Source organism: Homo sapiens, chromosome 13 (assembly GCF_000001405.40).
Source record: "Homo sapiens chromosome 13, GRCh38.p14 Primary Assembly".
In the NCBI taxonomy this organism is placed as follows: Eukaryota; Metazoa; Chordata; class Mammalia; order Primates; family Hominidae; genus Homo; species Homo sapiens.
In genome coordinates, this window is record NC_000013.11 from 40171665 (window position 1) to 40189807 (window position 18143).

Here is an 18143-nt window from a genome sequence, read left to right on the forward strand (position 1 = left end):
TAATTTCATGGGCTGGCTTATCCTTTTTTTTTTTTTTTTTTCCTGCATTCTTCCATTAATTTTAACTGGTTTTCTCTCCAGGAGGAATGTTCTTAGAAGAAACCACAGAGATGAATCCTCTCCTGCTCCCAATGGTGTCTCTTACTCTAAATGTGTGTATTTGAGGGCCATTTTCCTATTGAGCATTTGAAAATGTGCTTGTGAATAAGTAATTGACTTATTTATGGAATGATTTGGGGCATTATCCCCATTTTGTTTTGTTGTGGTGGTTTTAACTTTTATTTTGGGTCCAGGGTATGTGTGCAGGTTTGCTATACAGGTAAGCTTATGTCACGGGGGTTTGTTGTGCAGACTATTTCGTCACTGGGGTACTAAACCCAGGGTACTAACCCCAGTACCCAATAATTCTTTTTCCTGATCCTGTCCCTCCTCCCACCCTCCACCCCCTAGTAGGCCCCGGTGTGTGTTACTCTCCTCTTTGTGACATGCGTTCTCATCGCTTAGCCTCCACTGTTACCTCCATTTTGAAGACTCCTGTAACTTTGTCACCCCTCCAGAGGGGGAGCTGCGCGGGGTGAGGGGCTCGGCCACACCCGTGCTGTACCTCCTCGGTCCCCGCGGCTCTTCCTGCCGCGGCCGCGCCCCTTCTCCCGCAGCCGCCCGGGAGGCTCCCTCACTGCTTAGCAACTCCTCCTTGTGACCTGGGCGACACTCAAGACAGAGGCAAACAAGCCTTGGCGTGCCCTTCGCTCCGAAAAACGGAGGAAGCCGCCGAAAGCCCAGGCTCAACCCTGCACCTCAGAGCCGCCCGAGGGCCACTGCCACGGGGGCAGCCTGGATGGAGGGCGGTCATAGTCCGTCCGTGTAGGGAGCGCAGCCCCCGGTAAGGAGAGCGGGGGTTTAATCTCAGGGCTGCCACTGAGAAACCCTGGCGACCCAGGTCAAACTTCCCATTCTCCCTGGGGCTCAGTTCTCTCCTGAGGGAACAGCAGAGACAGTCCAGGACCACCTTTGCCCACGGCTGTCACTCACACTCATCCCAGCCCAGGCCGCTGCAGATGCTGTGCACACCTGGACTCCATCCTTGCGGCCACCTCGCACAGTGGACGTTATTCTCCCCACTTGACACACGAGGTGACATTAAGTCACCCCACTCCCAAGGCCACACAGCACAGGGAGAGCTGGCACTTGGGTTTGACCGTAAGTCTCGCGGGCTCTGTGGGTTAGAACACATTGCCTCCCCTCTGAGGGCTGCTGGAGGAGCAATAAAATAAGACAGGGTGACAGGCTTCGGAAACTGTCCTCCTGGTCTGAGCTGTCTTTGGTAACCCACCTCTCTGTCCCCCACATCCCCTGGGTTCGCAGGCACCTCACAGAGTAGACACCGAGGTGGGGACATTTGTTCTGTGCCCTCGTGCAATGCCACCGTCAGACACTCTGCAAAGTCAGTGAAGGGAAATGAAGCCAGAAAACTCTGTGCCAGGAATTCTTTGAGAATAATTATCTCTCGGGTCAGTCAGAGATGCCAGCCAGCCAACCGCTCCTGCACAGATGTCACTGATTCCTCAGGGTCTGTCTCCCAGTCCTTTGTTCTAGCTGAGCCAAGCAAACACACCCCCACCCAGTCACTTTCCCTCTTCTCTACCTTATCCCTTATTATCTCAATTACCATCCCCAAAGAGGCCCCGCAAATGAAGATGGGTTTGGAACCGCAATGGTCAACATCATGCTTAATAATAACAATTATATGATTATATATCTCTGCTATAATAACATGTAATTACCCAATAATTACTATTAAACAGTGCAGCGGTGACCACCGAGGTCCCAAAACCCTTTAATTATTGTTATCGCTGATCATGAAGCAGAGGATCATTCTCTAACATTGTTTCTGTGTATCACAGGCACTTCTCTTCGGAAATTCTAGAGCTTCTATTTATTTATGTTTTCACTCTTGAGCTGAGGTCTCACAGGGAGACAGAAACCTTAAACTTAGGCCATCTCCCAGTGCCTTAAGCATGTGACATGCAAATCTTCTAAGGATTTACTTTCTCCCTCATCTCCAAGTCCACACGATATCTGGAGAAGCTCTTCATCTGTGGCGATTGATGGGGAAAATCTCACATCAAAATAGCTAGAATGAAATGATGGCCCCAACTTCTTCCCAAACTGCTTTAAGACACTCAGAAAACAAATAAATAGTGATAACTCTTGGGTAGAATTAAACAAAGTTCTCAGTTATACTGACTTTAGAGTCTTTGACAGTTTGGTTTCTCTAATCCGATACTTGCCCTCCCATGGAGTCAAACACTGAATTTCATCTATTTGTTTTTTGTTTTTTTTGCAGGATCCCACCTTTGAGATATATTTTTGGGGGGCTTATAGGTGAAGAGGGAAGTACAACAGTATCAGAATTTCTTTCTGAAAACTTTTTATGTTAAACGGATATAAGAAAAGTGAATTCTTTGGTTAAAAACTATTCAGAATTCCAAGCTCCATCTTTCCCCTTTTTTCCAGACTGCAAGTGGATCTCCAGAAAATTTAATTAGGGGTCTATAAGCTAAGGAAAGATTTCTCTTTTCTGGTTTGAAACTCATACCCTTTTATTCCTAAGGGATATCTGATTCATAAGCAGTAGTATGGGCTAAAAATCAGCCCCCTGTCTATGGGCTAAGAGATTTCTAGCTTGGGGACCAAGGTATATGAGAATAATGTGAATGTACTTCCTTCAAATTAAACAATTACATTCATCATAAGATTATTTTTTAAAAAGGAGACAGAGAAAGCAAATTACTTTCCTAATTCATCATGGTAACACATTGAAAACAAATGCTTTTCCAGCTTAATCTACCAGCTACCATTAAGTGGCTAATCCTTTTAGATAATAATCTAAATTATCCCCCAAACCTGAGGGAATACTATATGCAGGTGAGAGAATGCAGAATATAAAATAGTTTTTGAGGTCTTCACAGCACTCTGTTAGTTACTCCTGGAAGAAGACTCTGTTAGTACAAAACGTAATTAATGGCAATTGCCTGAGGGTTCTGTGTGAGACTCACTACGCCTACTTTATGCCAAAGGATAAATCATGGAGATGAGTAGCTCTTTCCTTTCTTGTGTTCCGTGTTCGTACCACCCCTCTTCTCTGTCACTAAGTCAACCTGTGCCTTACAGGTTGGACATGACACAGAACCCATTCAGTTTATCCCAGTGGGTGACTGAGGAAGCTCTTTCTGCCCATCTTAGTGCCCACTGGGCAGCTGAGCTTGCCGGGTCCAAACTCAAGCCTCAGTATCAAGCCTCTGTCTTGGGTTTGGGGTTAGAATATTCCAAGCCCCACAGCAAACGAAGGCAGACTCCTGCTCAAAACTTTTTGATGGATTTCCAGTGCATGGAGGAGGGAACCAGAACGGACCTCAGCATAGAAGGCCCCCTAAGAACAGTCTCTCCAGTTTCAGCAAACAGAGCACTCTTAACTCCAATCATGATATCCACCAACACCAGCTTCCAAGCTCTCTCTGCTTTTGCATCTTGCCATACCCCTAGAGCGTTCTTATCTCCTTAACTCTTTGTCCAGCTAGCTCCCCCTCATCCTCAGGGTTCCAACTGGAAATACATTTCCTTAGAGGCCTGCTGGGACCCATCAATCTGAGGCTGTCCCCAGGTGTGTGTAATTGTGCGCTATGCTTCCTAACACTTTTTAAATAAGTTATCATTAAGAGAAGTAAGGACAAACTTTGCTGCCCATCTTTTTTCCACTCAATTGTAAGCTTCATGAGAGGAGAGAGAGAGTTTTGTTCACCTTTATTTGCCCAGTGTTGGGTACATAGTAATTTACAAATATCTGTGAATAAATAAGTGAGTTTAGGAAATGTAATGAAAGGAATATTTAAAGACACATCCTAAAGCCACCTTAGGAAGTAAGGGAAGAGGAGCTGATGTAGTGGAATAAATAGAGAGCTGGCATAGAGGGATTGAGGTCCAGACCACCTAGTTCCAAAGCACAGAACAACATGTCCAGTCTTCATTCCACACACCCAGTACTACTAGAATAACCTGGGAATTTGGCCCAAGGTAGCATCTGAAGAACTGTCCACAAACAGTACAATACTCCCAGTACAACACTGGCTTCAAATGTTTAACATTTTGTTCTCAGAAACCATCCAAAGTTCTTAGAAATGCTAATATCCTAGCATCCATACTGCATTCTCCAGTATCACTCACACCCAGAGACAGAGACAGAAAACAAAAAAACAGAATCCTTTGCTGAATCATAAATCTGCATTTTTGGTTTAGAAACTATGAGCACAGAGCTTACATGTGTGCCAACCTCAAAAGTTAGGGAGATGTTCCAACACAGCCTCCCTTCCCTCAGTAACCTACTGCAAGGATGTAATTTACTATTTTATTTATAGCACTTTTGTAACTATATTTTTAATATCTATTTAGAAATGATGAGTTTCATAAGTTTACTACCTGCTGTATGAAGTTGTAATTTTACAAACTCCTCCAAAACCCTTGTTCTCTAATGTTTTAAGCCACACTGTGCCCCTTGTCTCTCTCTCTCTCTCTCTCTCTCTCTCTCTCCATCTGATAGTGTATTAGATGGGGAAGGTCCTATTTGTCCTTTCTCCCTGCCTCTCCACTGGTCATCTTAGCACTTTGGCCCACTTGTGTCTGGTAGCTTCTTTATGGCCAGTTCCTTTCTCAATGGACTTGCTTTATAGAGAACCATTCAGAAGAATAAGGTTTCCTTCTCTGCAGCCGCCGCCGCCGCTGCTGCTGCTGTTTAAAGGGTGACCCGCACCAGCAGTAGCACTCTGGGCTCATTAGGAAAGCAGAATTCCAGTCCCCACCCTAGATTCTGAATCCGAATCAGCTTAACTAAATAGTAGATGACTTCTTTGCCATGAAAGTTTAAGGAGCTGCTCTAGAGAATCTTCATTTCAGTTCTCAAGAGCCTTTGCCAGGTCGGGTGCGGTGGCTCACACCTTTAATCCCAGCAATTTGGGAGGCCGAGGCAGGTGGATCACGAGGTCAGGAGTTGGAGACCAACCTGGCCAACATGGTGAAACCCTGTATCTACTAAAAATACAAAAATTAGCTGGGCGTGGTGGTACATGTCTATAATCCCATCTACTTGGGAGGCTGAGGCAGGAGAATCATCACTTGAACCCAGGAGGCGGAGGTTGCAGTGAGCTGAGATCGTGCCACAGCACTCCAGCCTGGGTGACAGAGCAAGACTCCATGATAAAAAAAAAAAAAGAAGAAGAAGAAGAAGCCTTTACTTAGGGGGCTCCTTCCCGGATCCCGGCCCTTGCAGCAAACCCTTTCCACCCACAGCAGCTAGCCGGCTGCTACAACCCAGTCTCCTCCTCTCTTGGATTCAAAAGAACTCAAGGGGTCTCAGAACTCTGAACTCCCAGCAAATGAGGGTTTTGGGGTTCTAATAGTAAATATCAGCTGCTTTATGAATTTAATAAAGTTTTGTGAGCTACCACATGATCTTATATGTTAAGAGCATCTCTACCCATATACATATTTGATATGTGTGTATATAATACACACTGCGTCTTACATGATAATTAAGTTCTCACAATAGTTTATGTGGAACACACACCCCACATCCTGATAATATATAATATGTTGTAGAGAAAACAGCACAGCCTTTGGAATTAGACAGAACTGGGGTTTAGCCTGTCTCCACCACAACTGGTGGCGGAAGCTTGAGTAGGTCACAGGGCCTGTCTAACCCTCAGATTCCTCATCTGTAAAAAGAGGGCAACTGTCACCTTGCAGGGCAGTTGTGGGATTATAACTTGGGTATAATCTGCGTTTGCCACAGTTCCTGTCACTTACCAGGTACATAGCAACTTGTAGTCCTGTCATCCACATTATTATCATTATACACATGCAATACAGGTTTCTGTTCATGCTTAGATATTTAGTTATATTCCATGCAGTTCTCAATCAATCCCTATACTCCTTTTTGCATAAACTGGCCCTGGTCAGTGCTTTAATCCGATGGTTTCTTGATCCTAAAACCTCCTTTGGAAGTTTCCTCACACATGGGCACAAAGTTAGTTCTGCAGCTGTAAGGCAATCTGTACATGTTGTTGGCCACCTTTGTCAGTCCCTCAACATTTTAGAGAGAAGCATCTAACCAAACCCATAATTCCTGACCACTTGAGTTCCTGCCTCACTCTAAGGCAGTGGTTCTCAATGAGGGCACAAAAATGTCACCAGGGCACATTGGCAATGTTCTGGAGATGTTTTTGGTTGTCACACTGGGGGAGGAGGGATACTACTGGCATCTAGTGGGTAGAGACCAAGGATGCTGCTACACATCCTTCAACGTGTTTCTCCATCATGGACAGCCTTCCACGATGGAGAAACGTCCATGAGTAGCACAGTACTGAGGTTGAGAAGCTGCTCTAGTTTTAAGTTGGACTGGCATTAAACTCAGTAAGTGGCCTCCTTACCACTAAACTAGTATGTTCCATCCTTTTCACTGTCTTCCATTTCCCCTCACAAGGAAGCCCTCAAACTTGCTTAACTCTTTATGCCTCATCAGGAGTTTCAAGTGTCTCTGGAATGGCCTGGCGGCTCGTTTCCTGCTGGCTGCGGTGTCGCTTTTGTTTACTTCATAGCTGGAACAACTTGGTGGGTGCAGGGAGAGCCACACAGGCACACCCTACAGCATGTCATACACATTGCTACTTGACAGGAAGGAAGATGCACAAGGATTCTGGCACAAGGCCTCGTATGTGCTTCATTCTTTCTCTGTCTCTTGGTCAAATTGGCCCAATCAGACTCTAAATGAAGAATTTTTCTCCCATGAATGCAGAGAGGGTCTCCCCTTCCCCTGCCCTAGGAAAGTGAGCAAGGAAGCGTGCAGCCCTGACCTTTTCTGGGAGTCATCATACGGCCTAGAGGAGAACAAGCTTGAGAATGAAAACACTGCCAAGGACATCAGAGCAGAACGACAGAAAGAACCTGGGTCCTTGTGAACAGAGTCATGGAATGATCTAGTCCTTAAGTGCACTCTGGTTCTTGCTGTGAGAGGTGATCCACCTCTTTCTTGTTTGTCATCATCTCACTTAGAGACAGAGCATCCTAACTGATTATTTATCCATCTTAGCTGAACTTAGGGCCCCATGAAGGAGGCACCACCCCTCTCTCTCCAGGAGGCTAAGTAATCCACTAACAGTTTCATTCACCTTAAACTCCTTCCCAAAATACCCTCCTAGCTACTGGAACAATCAAGACAGAGTTTTTAGACAGAGTTTTGCTCTTGTTGCCCAGGCTGGAGTGCAACGGTGTGATCTCGGCTCACTGCAACCTCTGCCTCCCACATTCAAGCAATTCTTCTGCATCAGCCTCCTGAGTAGCTGGGATTACAGGCGCCTGCCACCATGCCCGGCTAATTTTTTGTATTTTTAGTAGAGACAGGGTTTCACCACGTTAGCCAGGCTGGTCTTGAACTCCTGACCTCAGGTGATCCATCTGCCTCGGCCTCTCAAAGTGCTGAAAGGTTGGAGATTTTATACTCCAACTCAAGACCTTCACCAAGGCCTCCTGGGTCCACTGCCACTCTGTTTCCTTCTTTTTCTCTGTCCTCTCCCTTCTGGAGTTCACCAGTCAAACCTCTTTCTCACTCTCTACTCCTCAGCCCACACCCATCCCTGCCAGGGCTTTGTGGCCTTACTTGTACAATTTACCCACCACGGCCTCAGGTACAAGGGTTTATGACGTTTGTAACAAGTACTTGCTAATCTCTCAGAAGCCACTGGGTATATAGAATCCTGCAGTTTATCTGGATGATCAAACTATTTCATTTTTTATTCTTCTTAGTTGGCATCAGTGCCTTAGAATAGAATTTAGATGTGTGCTTTGCCTAAAAGGAAAGAGCTGACAGAGCTTGCAACTGGCAATGCATCAGTTCCACCTCAAGGAAATCAACAGGGAGAAGCTAATGAGACGGAACAGTTCTCATATTAACCAGTTAGCTATTCAGCTTAGGACAGATGTGGAAAATAAGCCCATATGAGACAAATTCATTAAAGTGAAATTATCCGTTCAACACCTTGATATCTGAGCAGACTGATGTTTCAAAATTATTATAATTATGATCATGGGGATAAAGAGAGCCAAACTTTCGAAAGAAGACTTGAAAAAAAATTAAAAATTCTAGTACTACCCTGTGAGATGAAAATAATGAGCTGGTCACAGATCCCCAGGATATCAGCAATTGCTCTAAATCCTTCTTGATGAGGAATCTGTGACTCCAAAGTCAACATTAATTCAAATGCAAATAATATCTCTTCCCCCTGAGAATCATTATTCCTGATTCAGCAGGCAATTTAATGGGAAATCTGCAGGTGCACTGCAGACTTTGAACCAGAGAAGTTGTTCCAGCTCCAGATGAAGCTTTGACTCCTGAACACATGGAATCTGACAGTCAGAGCCCAGAGATTTTAATTCTCTCACTGCCTCTGAGATGGTAGTTCCTGGGTAAAGCATATGGAACTCAGTAGGGCATAGATCTGGTACCTGCAGCCTGGAAAATATCACAAATCTCTGTCTGCTTCTCTCAAACACACACCCCCTTCTTCAGTAGCTGTTAACCACCTCGACCCTTTGCATGGAAGTTCTTCTTAAATACCACCTGCAGAAGACAGTCAGCCTCCAGCCTTGTCATCTTGAGGTGACCCACAGAGGAGAAAAGGCTGGAAGCCTCTAGAATTATCTGGCTCAGGTTGGACTGTCTGATGCTGGGAAAATTACATGGCCATTCTGTGCCTCAGTTTCTCCATCAGCAAAATAAGGAAATGAATAACATCTGCCTTGTAGGACTGTGGTGTGGTTTAAGAGCTATAACAAACTTTTCATAGGCAAGATAACAGAAGGGTTAACAGTATGAACTCTGAAACCAGACTTTCCTGGTCCAAATCTGAGCTCTGCAGCTTGCTTATTAATAACCTTGGCAAAACAACCTTTTTTTTTTAACATCGGTTACCCCATGTAAAATGGGGGTGATAATATTAACAACCTGAGTTGTTATAAAAATTAACATTTTAAAATAATTTAGACCAGTGTCTGGCTTATATACCAAAGACTGTGTAATCACTTATGGTACAAGCAGTGCTTGGGCCATAGTGAGAGCTCAGTAAATGTTATATATTAGTATAAGAATTGTTAGTATTTCCATGAGTAGTCATAACACCATAGAAGAAACAGGGAATAATATTTCCAAAGACAGAATAGAAAGAGGCAAGGTATTTTCAGTTAGAAGAAATTGCCCTCTCAGCAATTTCTTTTTACCAGGTTTTATATGTGTAATAGTCTTTTCAGGATTCTATAACAACATACTATAGACTGGCTGGCTTAAACAACAGAAATTCATTTGTTCACAGGTCTGGAGACTGGCGGTCCAAGATCAGGGTGCCAGCATGGTTGGATTCTAGTGCAGACTCCCTCCTGACTTGAAGACTATACCTTCTCATTGTGTCTTCACATGGCAGAAAGAGAGAAAGAGAGCTCTCTCTGCCTCTTCCTGTAAGACCATAGTCTTATTGGATTAGAGGCCCATTCTTATGACCTCATTTAAGCTTTATTATCTCCTGAAGGCCCCATCTCCAGATATAGTCACACTGGGGCTTAAGACTTCAACATACCAATTTTGGGAGATATGATTCAGTCTATCACGTCGATCACATTCAGTCTAACATCACAATAAAAGGCCCTGTGATGCTTTGGCATACCCTGGTGACTCAGGGATGGCCAACTAGAAATATAACAGGTACCCAAATGCCATTCTCACTGAGAAGTCTGGAAACATATTTCTGAGAAAAGCAGAAGAGAGAGAGTTTAGCCAAGGTGGGAAGCTACTACATGTGGTGAGGCCATGTGTGGCAAGCATGCGTCTAACTAGCCATGGACACATGAAGTCCTTCAGTGCTTAACAATGCTGAGTCATATATTAGATTATGTTCCAGAATCCTACACCCACAGCATGTGAGGCAGATAAGCTGTACTTACCCAAGAAATGTAAACACCACAATAGTCCTTGGTTGTCAATCTGGTAGGGTCACGAAGACCTGCCTGGTATCAGTGTTTTTTAAAGCAACAGCTGAAAAAGTGACACCTAACTAGTCAAAGAACAGAGTTACAAGAGACATGCTGATTCAACGAATGGGTAATTATATATATTTGTTTTATTTGCTAAATCTATCCCTAAAATTTGTGTGCAGAAAAAAAAAAGGAGAAGTAAATTATGATGAATATTCGGTTAAAACAATCCTGCAGCAAATCTGAAAAAATCTATGGAAATAGAAACAATCACCCCTCATTTTATATTTTGGGGTTTGTTCTGTTATTATTATAATTGGATAGATACATTGAGTTTACATAAGCCAGGATTTATATTTTTTATGAGGGTCTTTACTTGACTTTTTTTATTCTAGACTTCTTTTATTCTAGATTTTACTAGTAAGAATTTAAAGATGTTACAAGGTAAGTGAGAGTTTAGATAAAGTTCTATCATACAGAACTTTCTCTTGGTTATTTCAGGGCAAATGAGTTTTAAAGTACCTGCACAGTAAATATTAATCACTGCATCTTGCCACATCTTGCAGATTTGCATTGTCAAAGGTTACAATTTTATCATGATAGTCTTACAATGTGATTAGAATCCTGTATTAGCTAAAGCCATTTTATTTTCAAGGACAAAATTTAAAGCAAAGAGGGGAAAATATATGAATGAAAAGAAGAAAAGAAAAATAATTTGTCTCCTTGACCTTCAGTGTTAGGGAGAATGACCAGAAAAAAACACAATAATGTTCGCCTTTGCTTCTAGGTCAAATTAATCTCCAAGGTTTTTCTAACTCATTATCAATTTCAAAAAATAAAAATATATAAAATGAAGAAATAGATCACAGCTGCTTATTCATCAGAGACACATCCCTTAATCTTCTCTTTAGCCATCTGGCAGCATATATTCAGTTTTTCTTTCTGCATTTATTTTCACAGATAAGGGACATTTCCAACCTCTTGCTTCTATTATTTGTTGATGTTTCTTGTCTCCTTGCAGTTACAGCATTATCTTGAATAGGGTTTTACCTCCATATCTGTGTTATCCCCAGATGGTGATGTCATGCTACCAGAATCACCCATTAGCAAAGCATCCTGATGGGGCACAACCACCTAGCTCCCTTTCGTCTCAGTTACCATGTGGCCCAGAGCCTTTCCTCTCTACACTAACTGAACCACAGTTTATCTCGGGGAGGAAACAGTAGGCTGGAAGCAAGGCTAGGAACAGGTCCCCCCTCTCGTACAGTAAGAGATAGACCAGAAAAGCCCAGCCAGATGTCCTTAGCCCCCTCTGTCTCCTGTTTTCAATGGAAACTACACCTAAGTAACACCAGAGCCACCACAACCTCAAATTTCTCCGTCATCTGTAACCTGAGGGAAGGCCACAGTCTGATGGCGGCCCTCCGGTTAGGAGGCTGAGAGCTCCTGTCTGTTAATTTATTGTTTGCTCTTTGGAACCAGAAAGTGGCAAAAACACTGGAAAACCTGTTACTTGGGGCCCTACAGAGTGGTCTATTTATTTCTGTTTGCAAATCGAGGCACGCGGGTCTTCCCCACTCCCTCCACGGTGGGGCCATTTCTAATGACCTTCAGTTGCCTGTCAAGCTGTTCTGACTGCTCATGTCTATGGCCCTTGTTCCAATATCCAAGTCAGATAATGTAACATTCAGAAGATCTTGTTCCCATTCCTTGTTCTTTAAATGTTTCAAAAATCACAGAACTGAAGGAAGCAGAAGCGAGGTTTCATGCTGAAGTCTAGTTGCTCTCCCATGATGGCCTGCATGGGATGCAGTTTACTCTAGGGGTTTGAGTGTCACTGAGAATTCTTGAACCACAAAAACTGCATCAATGTGCATTGTCCCTTCTCAAGCTCCCAGACTGATATTACAATTGCATTGACTTGAGACTTTGCCCACGTCAGGGGTTCCAAGGCTTAAGAGTAGATCAGAATCACTAAGGGAACACGTTAAAAATGTCTATTTCCAGGTTCCATCCCCCAGGGATTTGATTTAGAAGATATAAAGTAGAGGCACAGAAATCTGAATTTTTAGCTACAGATTTGTTGATTTTGAAGCAAGAAAGTCTAAGACTGCATTTATACACTGACCTCAGTCAAAGTTAACATTTTTTAAATCCTCAAGAGGGCCCTGCCTTTTCCTGAAGGATGGATTATTTTATTTCTTTCATACTAAGTACTCAAGATTAGGTGCTGTCTCCAGGCCCTGAAAATATCTTAATGCCTTGTTGAGATGAACAATATGTTTTGTGCTTATCAAATTGCTCTTCATCAATTAGGTAACAGTTTTATAATTCATATTATGTGCCAGGCACTGAGGATATAAGGGTGAGAGAAGCAGCTCTTGCCCTCAGGAGCTCGCAAGCACATGGGGAAGATGTTCAGTTAAACTGGCAATTGCAGTAAGGTGGAAGAGTTGCAATTGCAAACACAGGCACAGGTTACTATGTGAGAGCCAAAGAGGAGCACCACCTGAGACAGGAGTTTAGGAAAGCTGCTCAGAGGAGGTGGCCTCAGAAAAGGGCTTTGGGTAAAGAGAAGAGATTAACCAGGTCAAGAAGATAAAGAGGGAGTCATATTTGCGAAAGCACAGAGCAGACAGGAGCAGAGCGTGCTCAAGCAACTACGAGGAGTTAAATATGTTCAGGGTAAGGACTCATAAGAACAACAAGGTGTGTTAGCCTGTTCAGGCTGCTGTAACAACTTACCATGGACCAGGTGGCTTATAAGCAACAGAAATGTATTTCTTACAGTTCTAAAGTTTGTGAAGTCCAACATCAGAGCACCAGCAGATGCTGTGTCTGATGAGGGCCCTCTTCCTCCTGGTTCACAGATGGCTGTCTTCTCACTGTGTCCTCACATGGCAGAAGGGATGAGGGAGTTTTCTGAGGCCTGTTTTATAAGGACAGTCATCTCATCCATGAGGGCTCCACCCTTAGGACCTGATCACCTCCCAAAGGCCCACCTCCCAATACCATCCTGGGGGTTAGGATTTCAATATATAAATCTTCAGGGGTAGGAGGAACACAAGGAGAAGTGACTGAAGGAGTAAAGCAGAATATAAATCAAACTTAGGAGTTTGAAAATTATTTATTCAGCAGTGAGGAGCTATTGGAAGGTTCTATTGTGTACAGAAGATGGATCCAATGGGGAAAGATTGGTATTGAGATTATTACCTCAACATAACCAGGCTCAAATACTAAAGCTTAATAACACCAAAATGTCTGTGGCTTTGGCTCCATGTTTTCTCTTTTAAGTAATAAAAAAAGTTTAAAGTTTCTATTACACATAGAAATCTGTTGACAATTTTAATCTGATGGCAGCCATGGTACTGTGACTATTCATGTCAGAGTCCTTTGCCAGTAGAAACAAAGAAGATGCTGTTGCTGGCATGCTTCAACTCAGTTTTATTTCCTTATTTTATAAATTCTCTTCCTTTTGTTAAATCTGTCTTCTCCTTGAAAGCTAGGATCTTCCTGATGGATCCTTTGAGTTATTCTAGGACAATGCTTTTGTAGCTCAAAAGAGTGGTTGGCTGCAAACTCTTTAACAACCTTCAAACCCTCTATCGCAGACTCCAGCCTGCCTTTCCAGAAATAGCCTCTCAATGTCTTCTGCACTCCAACCAGATGATTAGAGTCCAAACCAGCCACAAGATTGCCTGAACCTGTGCCTTGGCTCAAACACTTTCTTCTGCCTTCCACTAAGAATGCCCTCCCTCCAGCCCTATCCACCCATGGTTATTTTTCTGATTCTGTAAGTTCAAATGCCTGAGCTTAAAGATACCTTCTCTAATGGCCTGAGCAGAATTGTTTCCCCTCTGGACTTCCTCAATTTGATCGTCTTCTAGAGTTTGGCTTGCATTATAGTTACCCGTGCACAAATCTGCCCTGTGAACCCCTTTAAGGACATGACCCTGTCATGGTCAACTTTGTCTCCATATTCCTTGCTTAGTGACTACACAAGGCTGAGTTGCACCATACAGGACTACTTTTCCATATTTCAGAAACTGTGCTTTAATAACCACAATCCACATGAAAGCTCCAGCTCATAATAAGAGCTACAGCTACGAATGACCGAGTGCTTATTATGGGTCAGACATGGAACTGAGATTTTTTTCACATTTATGTATACTAAAATTAATATATATGTGTGTATGTATATGTACATGTGTGTAAATATATACATATATACACATAGACATATATTTATGTATATATGTTTATATGTGCATATACATTGTATATTTAATTCAGAACATATATGTGTGTGTGTGTGTGTGTGTGTGTGTGTATATATATATGTATGTTGGGTATGTGTGTATGTACGTGTGTATTCAACTAATCCCACATAAGGGATTCTCTCCTTTTTAGAGATGAGTAAACTGAATTGCAGAGAGCTTAGATGACTTGAAAGAGACTTGACAGCTGAGCAGGGAGACCATCTGTAGCCACCTCCCTGTCACAAGGAAGCCTGCACATGTAAGTTACTCCACCCCTGCCCCAGATGACTCCTGGGTGACGGCTGTGAAATATTTCGATTCATCCTGAGGCTTCTCTGCTAGCCCTATTGGAAAGTCTGGAAGTAGGTGTAGGGAGCATGAGGAAGAAATAAAAACAGAATCCTGTGGAGTCACTACATTGTAGAAGAAAAGAGAAAGACAAGTCAGGGGTGGAGAAAGAGAAAGAAGGGTTAGAGACCATGGAATGAGGAATAGTGAGCAGCACAGGTCATGAGAGCATAGCTCTGTCCTGGCTGTTTTCACCGGAGCAACTCACTTTCACCTGTTGGATGGCTGTCCCGCATCACTGGCCTGTAAGCTCTGGGAGAGAAGAGACCACAGTAACAGCAGCCATTATTTATTGAGCACCTACAATGTGCCAGGGCACTGTTCTAAGCACGTCTCTTGTATTATCTAATCTTCACAAAACCTTATGAGATAGGTAATATTATTAACTCCATTTAATAGGTGAGGAAACTGAGCCCCAGAGAGGCTGCATAACTTACCTGTGTCACACATCTAAGACACGTCAGGGCTGGCTGTGCAGACAGACGCTCTGACACCAGAGCCTGCCTTTAACCATGATGCTGTGCCACTCCCCATAGCACATGAATTAGCCACTTATTAGGTATATACTGAATAAAACAATGAATAAAGACGGGAGGGTCACCAGGATCTAGAACTGGAAGGAGGTAAAGGATTATGAAAACTGAAAACAATCTTTGGATTTGCCAATTTAAGAGGATGTTGGTGGCATTCAAGAGAGCATGGTGGAGTCCTCTCTCTGTCCCCAGGTAAGGTGGGAGTGTCCAAGGCATCCTCAGCTCTTAACATAGTTCCTGGAACCCGGTCTGCACTCAGGGATACCCGCCAAGGCAGAAGGCCAAATTCCCCCCATGTTCCTTCCCAAGCCACCCACTGGCCCCTATGAAGGCTCTGGGAGTGACTGAAAAACTGGCATTTTTGGTCCTACAGAGACGTCAAAGAGAGGAAACGTTGAAGACAGAAACCCAAAACTCTCAGTTTATAACTTTGAACTGGGGCCGGGGAGGGGGGGGTGGGGAATAGCTTTCATTGGCTACAGCTACCACATCAAAAATAAGTAAAACATGAGAACTGTGAACCACATGAAGAGAGAGCGCGCCAACCTCAGTGAATCTCTTAACACTTAAGACGCTTCTTGGTAGAACTGAAGCCTCCCAAATGAAAAACAAGCACCGTTGTTCTTTATGGTCCAAATCACTTCAAAAGAGACTTACAAGCCCAAAAAAGATAAAGCCCAGCTTAAACGTGCACCCCACCCCACTTCCTTGCTGGCTCCTTCCCCCATGCATTGCCAGAACCTGCTCCACTAAACAGCAGGGGGTGGGGGAGGGAACAGACAGAAGAGGCGAAGTCCCTGGCCACCCTCTGTGCGTGACTGCCACCTGCGTATTGCAGGGTCTGGGCCCCTTGAGGAGAGAGGTAGCACCGTGCTGCATGTCCGTGTGGCCCGCCAGCTGGATCAATGAGTTCAGCCGCACTCAGCTCCAGGAGGCTGCAGATTTCTCACTCAGATCTCAGCGAGTAGCGCTGACATCTATTACCCCAGAAAGAGATTGGATATTGGGCTTAATGGATTTTCTGTGTGTTCCTTTCTGACCATAGAGAGACCTCCCATAGAGACGAAATATATCTACAAAAGGGTCACTGCCCTTGCAAGGAAAATGCGATCCCAGCACGGCCTGGCGTGTTCCTGGCGGCAGAAAGGTAAAGGAAAGCAGCAGAAACAGGCCAGCGCAGTGGGGTGCAAGCTGGTAGAAGCTCCACCCCACTGGGTGTAAGGGAAGTGAGCCGTGTGGAGGCGGCGCGAACAAGGGAGCATTCAAAGTCCCTTAACACTGGCGTTCAAAAGCCTTTGGGTGCTTATATTTAATTGTGGGTGTGTCTGGCATTTCTATAATTCACAACACATGAGGTCGCAGTGTGAGAACTCAAATCAGTAGGAGGTGGAGAGCAGTCCAGTTTCCCATCCCACTCCCGCACGCTTAGCCCTCGCCCCCGACTCCAAGCTGGGGGCGACGGTGCAGATTCCCAGCTCATGAAAGCAGCCCAGGCGTCTGCCCAGAGGTCGCCTGCCTTCTCCTACCAAGAAGGAAAGGAGCACGGAGACAAACCGACTGACTCAAAAGCCCTTCTTTCCTAGGACTCCTGCCAGGACAGGAGGAGAAGTTGCCGCTGAGACGAGGAGACGGCGGGAAGCCCTGCAGATGCCCCAAGCCCACTGAAGCCACAGGAGGGGAAGGGAGGAGGCTGCTGTGCTTTCTGTGTACCTTGTTCTCTGCCCAGAAGGGTCAGCACAGCCAGGCAGCCCCGAAACCCAGTGGAGGCTAAAGAAAGGAGGGCCCTCTCTCCTAGAGAAGGCTCAGTAGGCTCCCGAGGAAAGGGAAGGAGCAACTTTTTCCGTTTGACTTCAAGGAGGAGGGGGAAAGGGTACAGAATCAAAATGTATGGCACTTGCGATTCAGTTGGCTTATTTCTGAAAAAATTGGGGTAGATTGGGCGCCCAATGCACCATAAGCGTTATGTGTGTTTGTAAACACACACGGGGGTGTACACAGGGGTAGGGGTCTTAGAGAGAAAAGTAAAAAGGGAAAAGAAGGAAAGTAGCAGAGGCTACTTTACACATAAAAGTACATAAATAAGTTTACTTATGAAGACCATGGTTTCCCACTAACAGCCCCATCTTGGTAGCAGAATGGGACAAACTGTCACACACGCACAGTGAATTGTAAATAGCAGGGAATGGAAGGACAATGCTCATATGCATTGGATGTATAATAAGAATACATATGTGACCTACATATGTCTGTTTAATTAGGACAAGTGTCCATCCCTAGTGAAGATTGATTAGTCACTGTGACCTTGTTTTTGAAAGGATAATGAGAGCAGATGAGACTTTTGCTTTAACAAACTTACTTGGCCAAAATTTTAAAAGCTGGCAATTCTACCTTGCTACCAATCCTGATTGATTTGTTGTTGTTGTTGTTGTTTTTCCAACTTTACTTGTCTCTGATATTGAAATGTCTAGGAACTGTAACCTATGACATGGAAGTGCTATATAATTTGTTTTCAAATTTCAAGCCTCTTTAACTAATGTGGATTTTTATTAAGCAGTTGTTTGACATTCAATGTCAGATGGGTTACAAGGAAAGCTGATGTTTAGAAGGATGTACTGTGTGTTGGGCATCATCCCAGACTCTGTCTTTTAATTCGGGTCGTAAAACTTACGCATCTTTATACAGTAGATACGACTTAACCCAATATTTTTTCAAAAGAGAAACAAGTTTTATACCTTGCACAAAACCACAGGTGGTGAAGGCAGAATACAAACTGAGGGCCTGTCTGACTCAGAAGCCCACGATGTTTCCTATCCTATCTCCTCAGTTACCAAAAAGAGGTTCACAGCACTGGACCAGAGAGAGACCTTGGATGTTAACTCCACCAGCCTCTAATTTTGCAGAGAAGAATGCGCTACAGCAGAGGTTAGGTTAC

The 18143-nt window shown here is 44.0% G+C and overlaps 1 protein-coding gene and 1 long non-coding RNA gene across 2 annotated transcripts in view, besides 2 other annotated features; one reads left to right on the forward strand and one right to left on the reverse strand.

Annotated features, from left to right (window-relative positions):
* Positions 1-18143, reverse strand: part of LOC124903162 (uncharacterized) — a 138590-nt gene that overhangs the window by 92561 nt on the left and 27886 nt on the right. The window lies entirely within an intron of this gene.
* Positions 239-767: an enhancer, noted in NCBI's record as "H3K4me1 hESC enhancer chr13:40746040-40746568 (GRCh37/hg19 assembly coordinates)". NCBI's record gives its function as "activates a minimal SCP1, AML or CMV promoter by ChIP-STARR-seq in naive H9 embryonic stem cells {active_cell/tissue: H9 hESC(naive)}" and the evidence as "EXISTENCE:reporter gene assay evidence [ECO:0000049][PMID:30033119]".
* Positions 768-1296: an enhancer, noted in NCBI's record as "H3K4me1 hESC enhancer chr13:40746569-40747097 (GRCh37/hg19 assembly coordinates)". NCBI's record gives its function as "activates a minimal SCP1, AML or CMV promoter by ChIP-STARR-seq in naive H9 embryonic stem cells {active_cell/tissue: H9 hESC(naive)}" and the evidence as "EXISTENCE:reporter gene assay evidence [ECO:0000049][PMID:30033119]".
* On the forward strand, positions 10145-17366 carry LINC00332 (long intergenic non-protein coding RNA 332). The gene is made up of 4 exons (NR_046870.1): positions 10145-10198; positions 14482-14589; positions 16257-16358; positions 16795-17366. It is a non-coding gene; the product is annotated as a long intergenic non-protein coding RNA 332 (long non-coding RNA).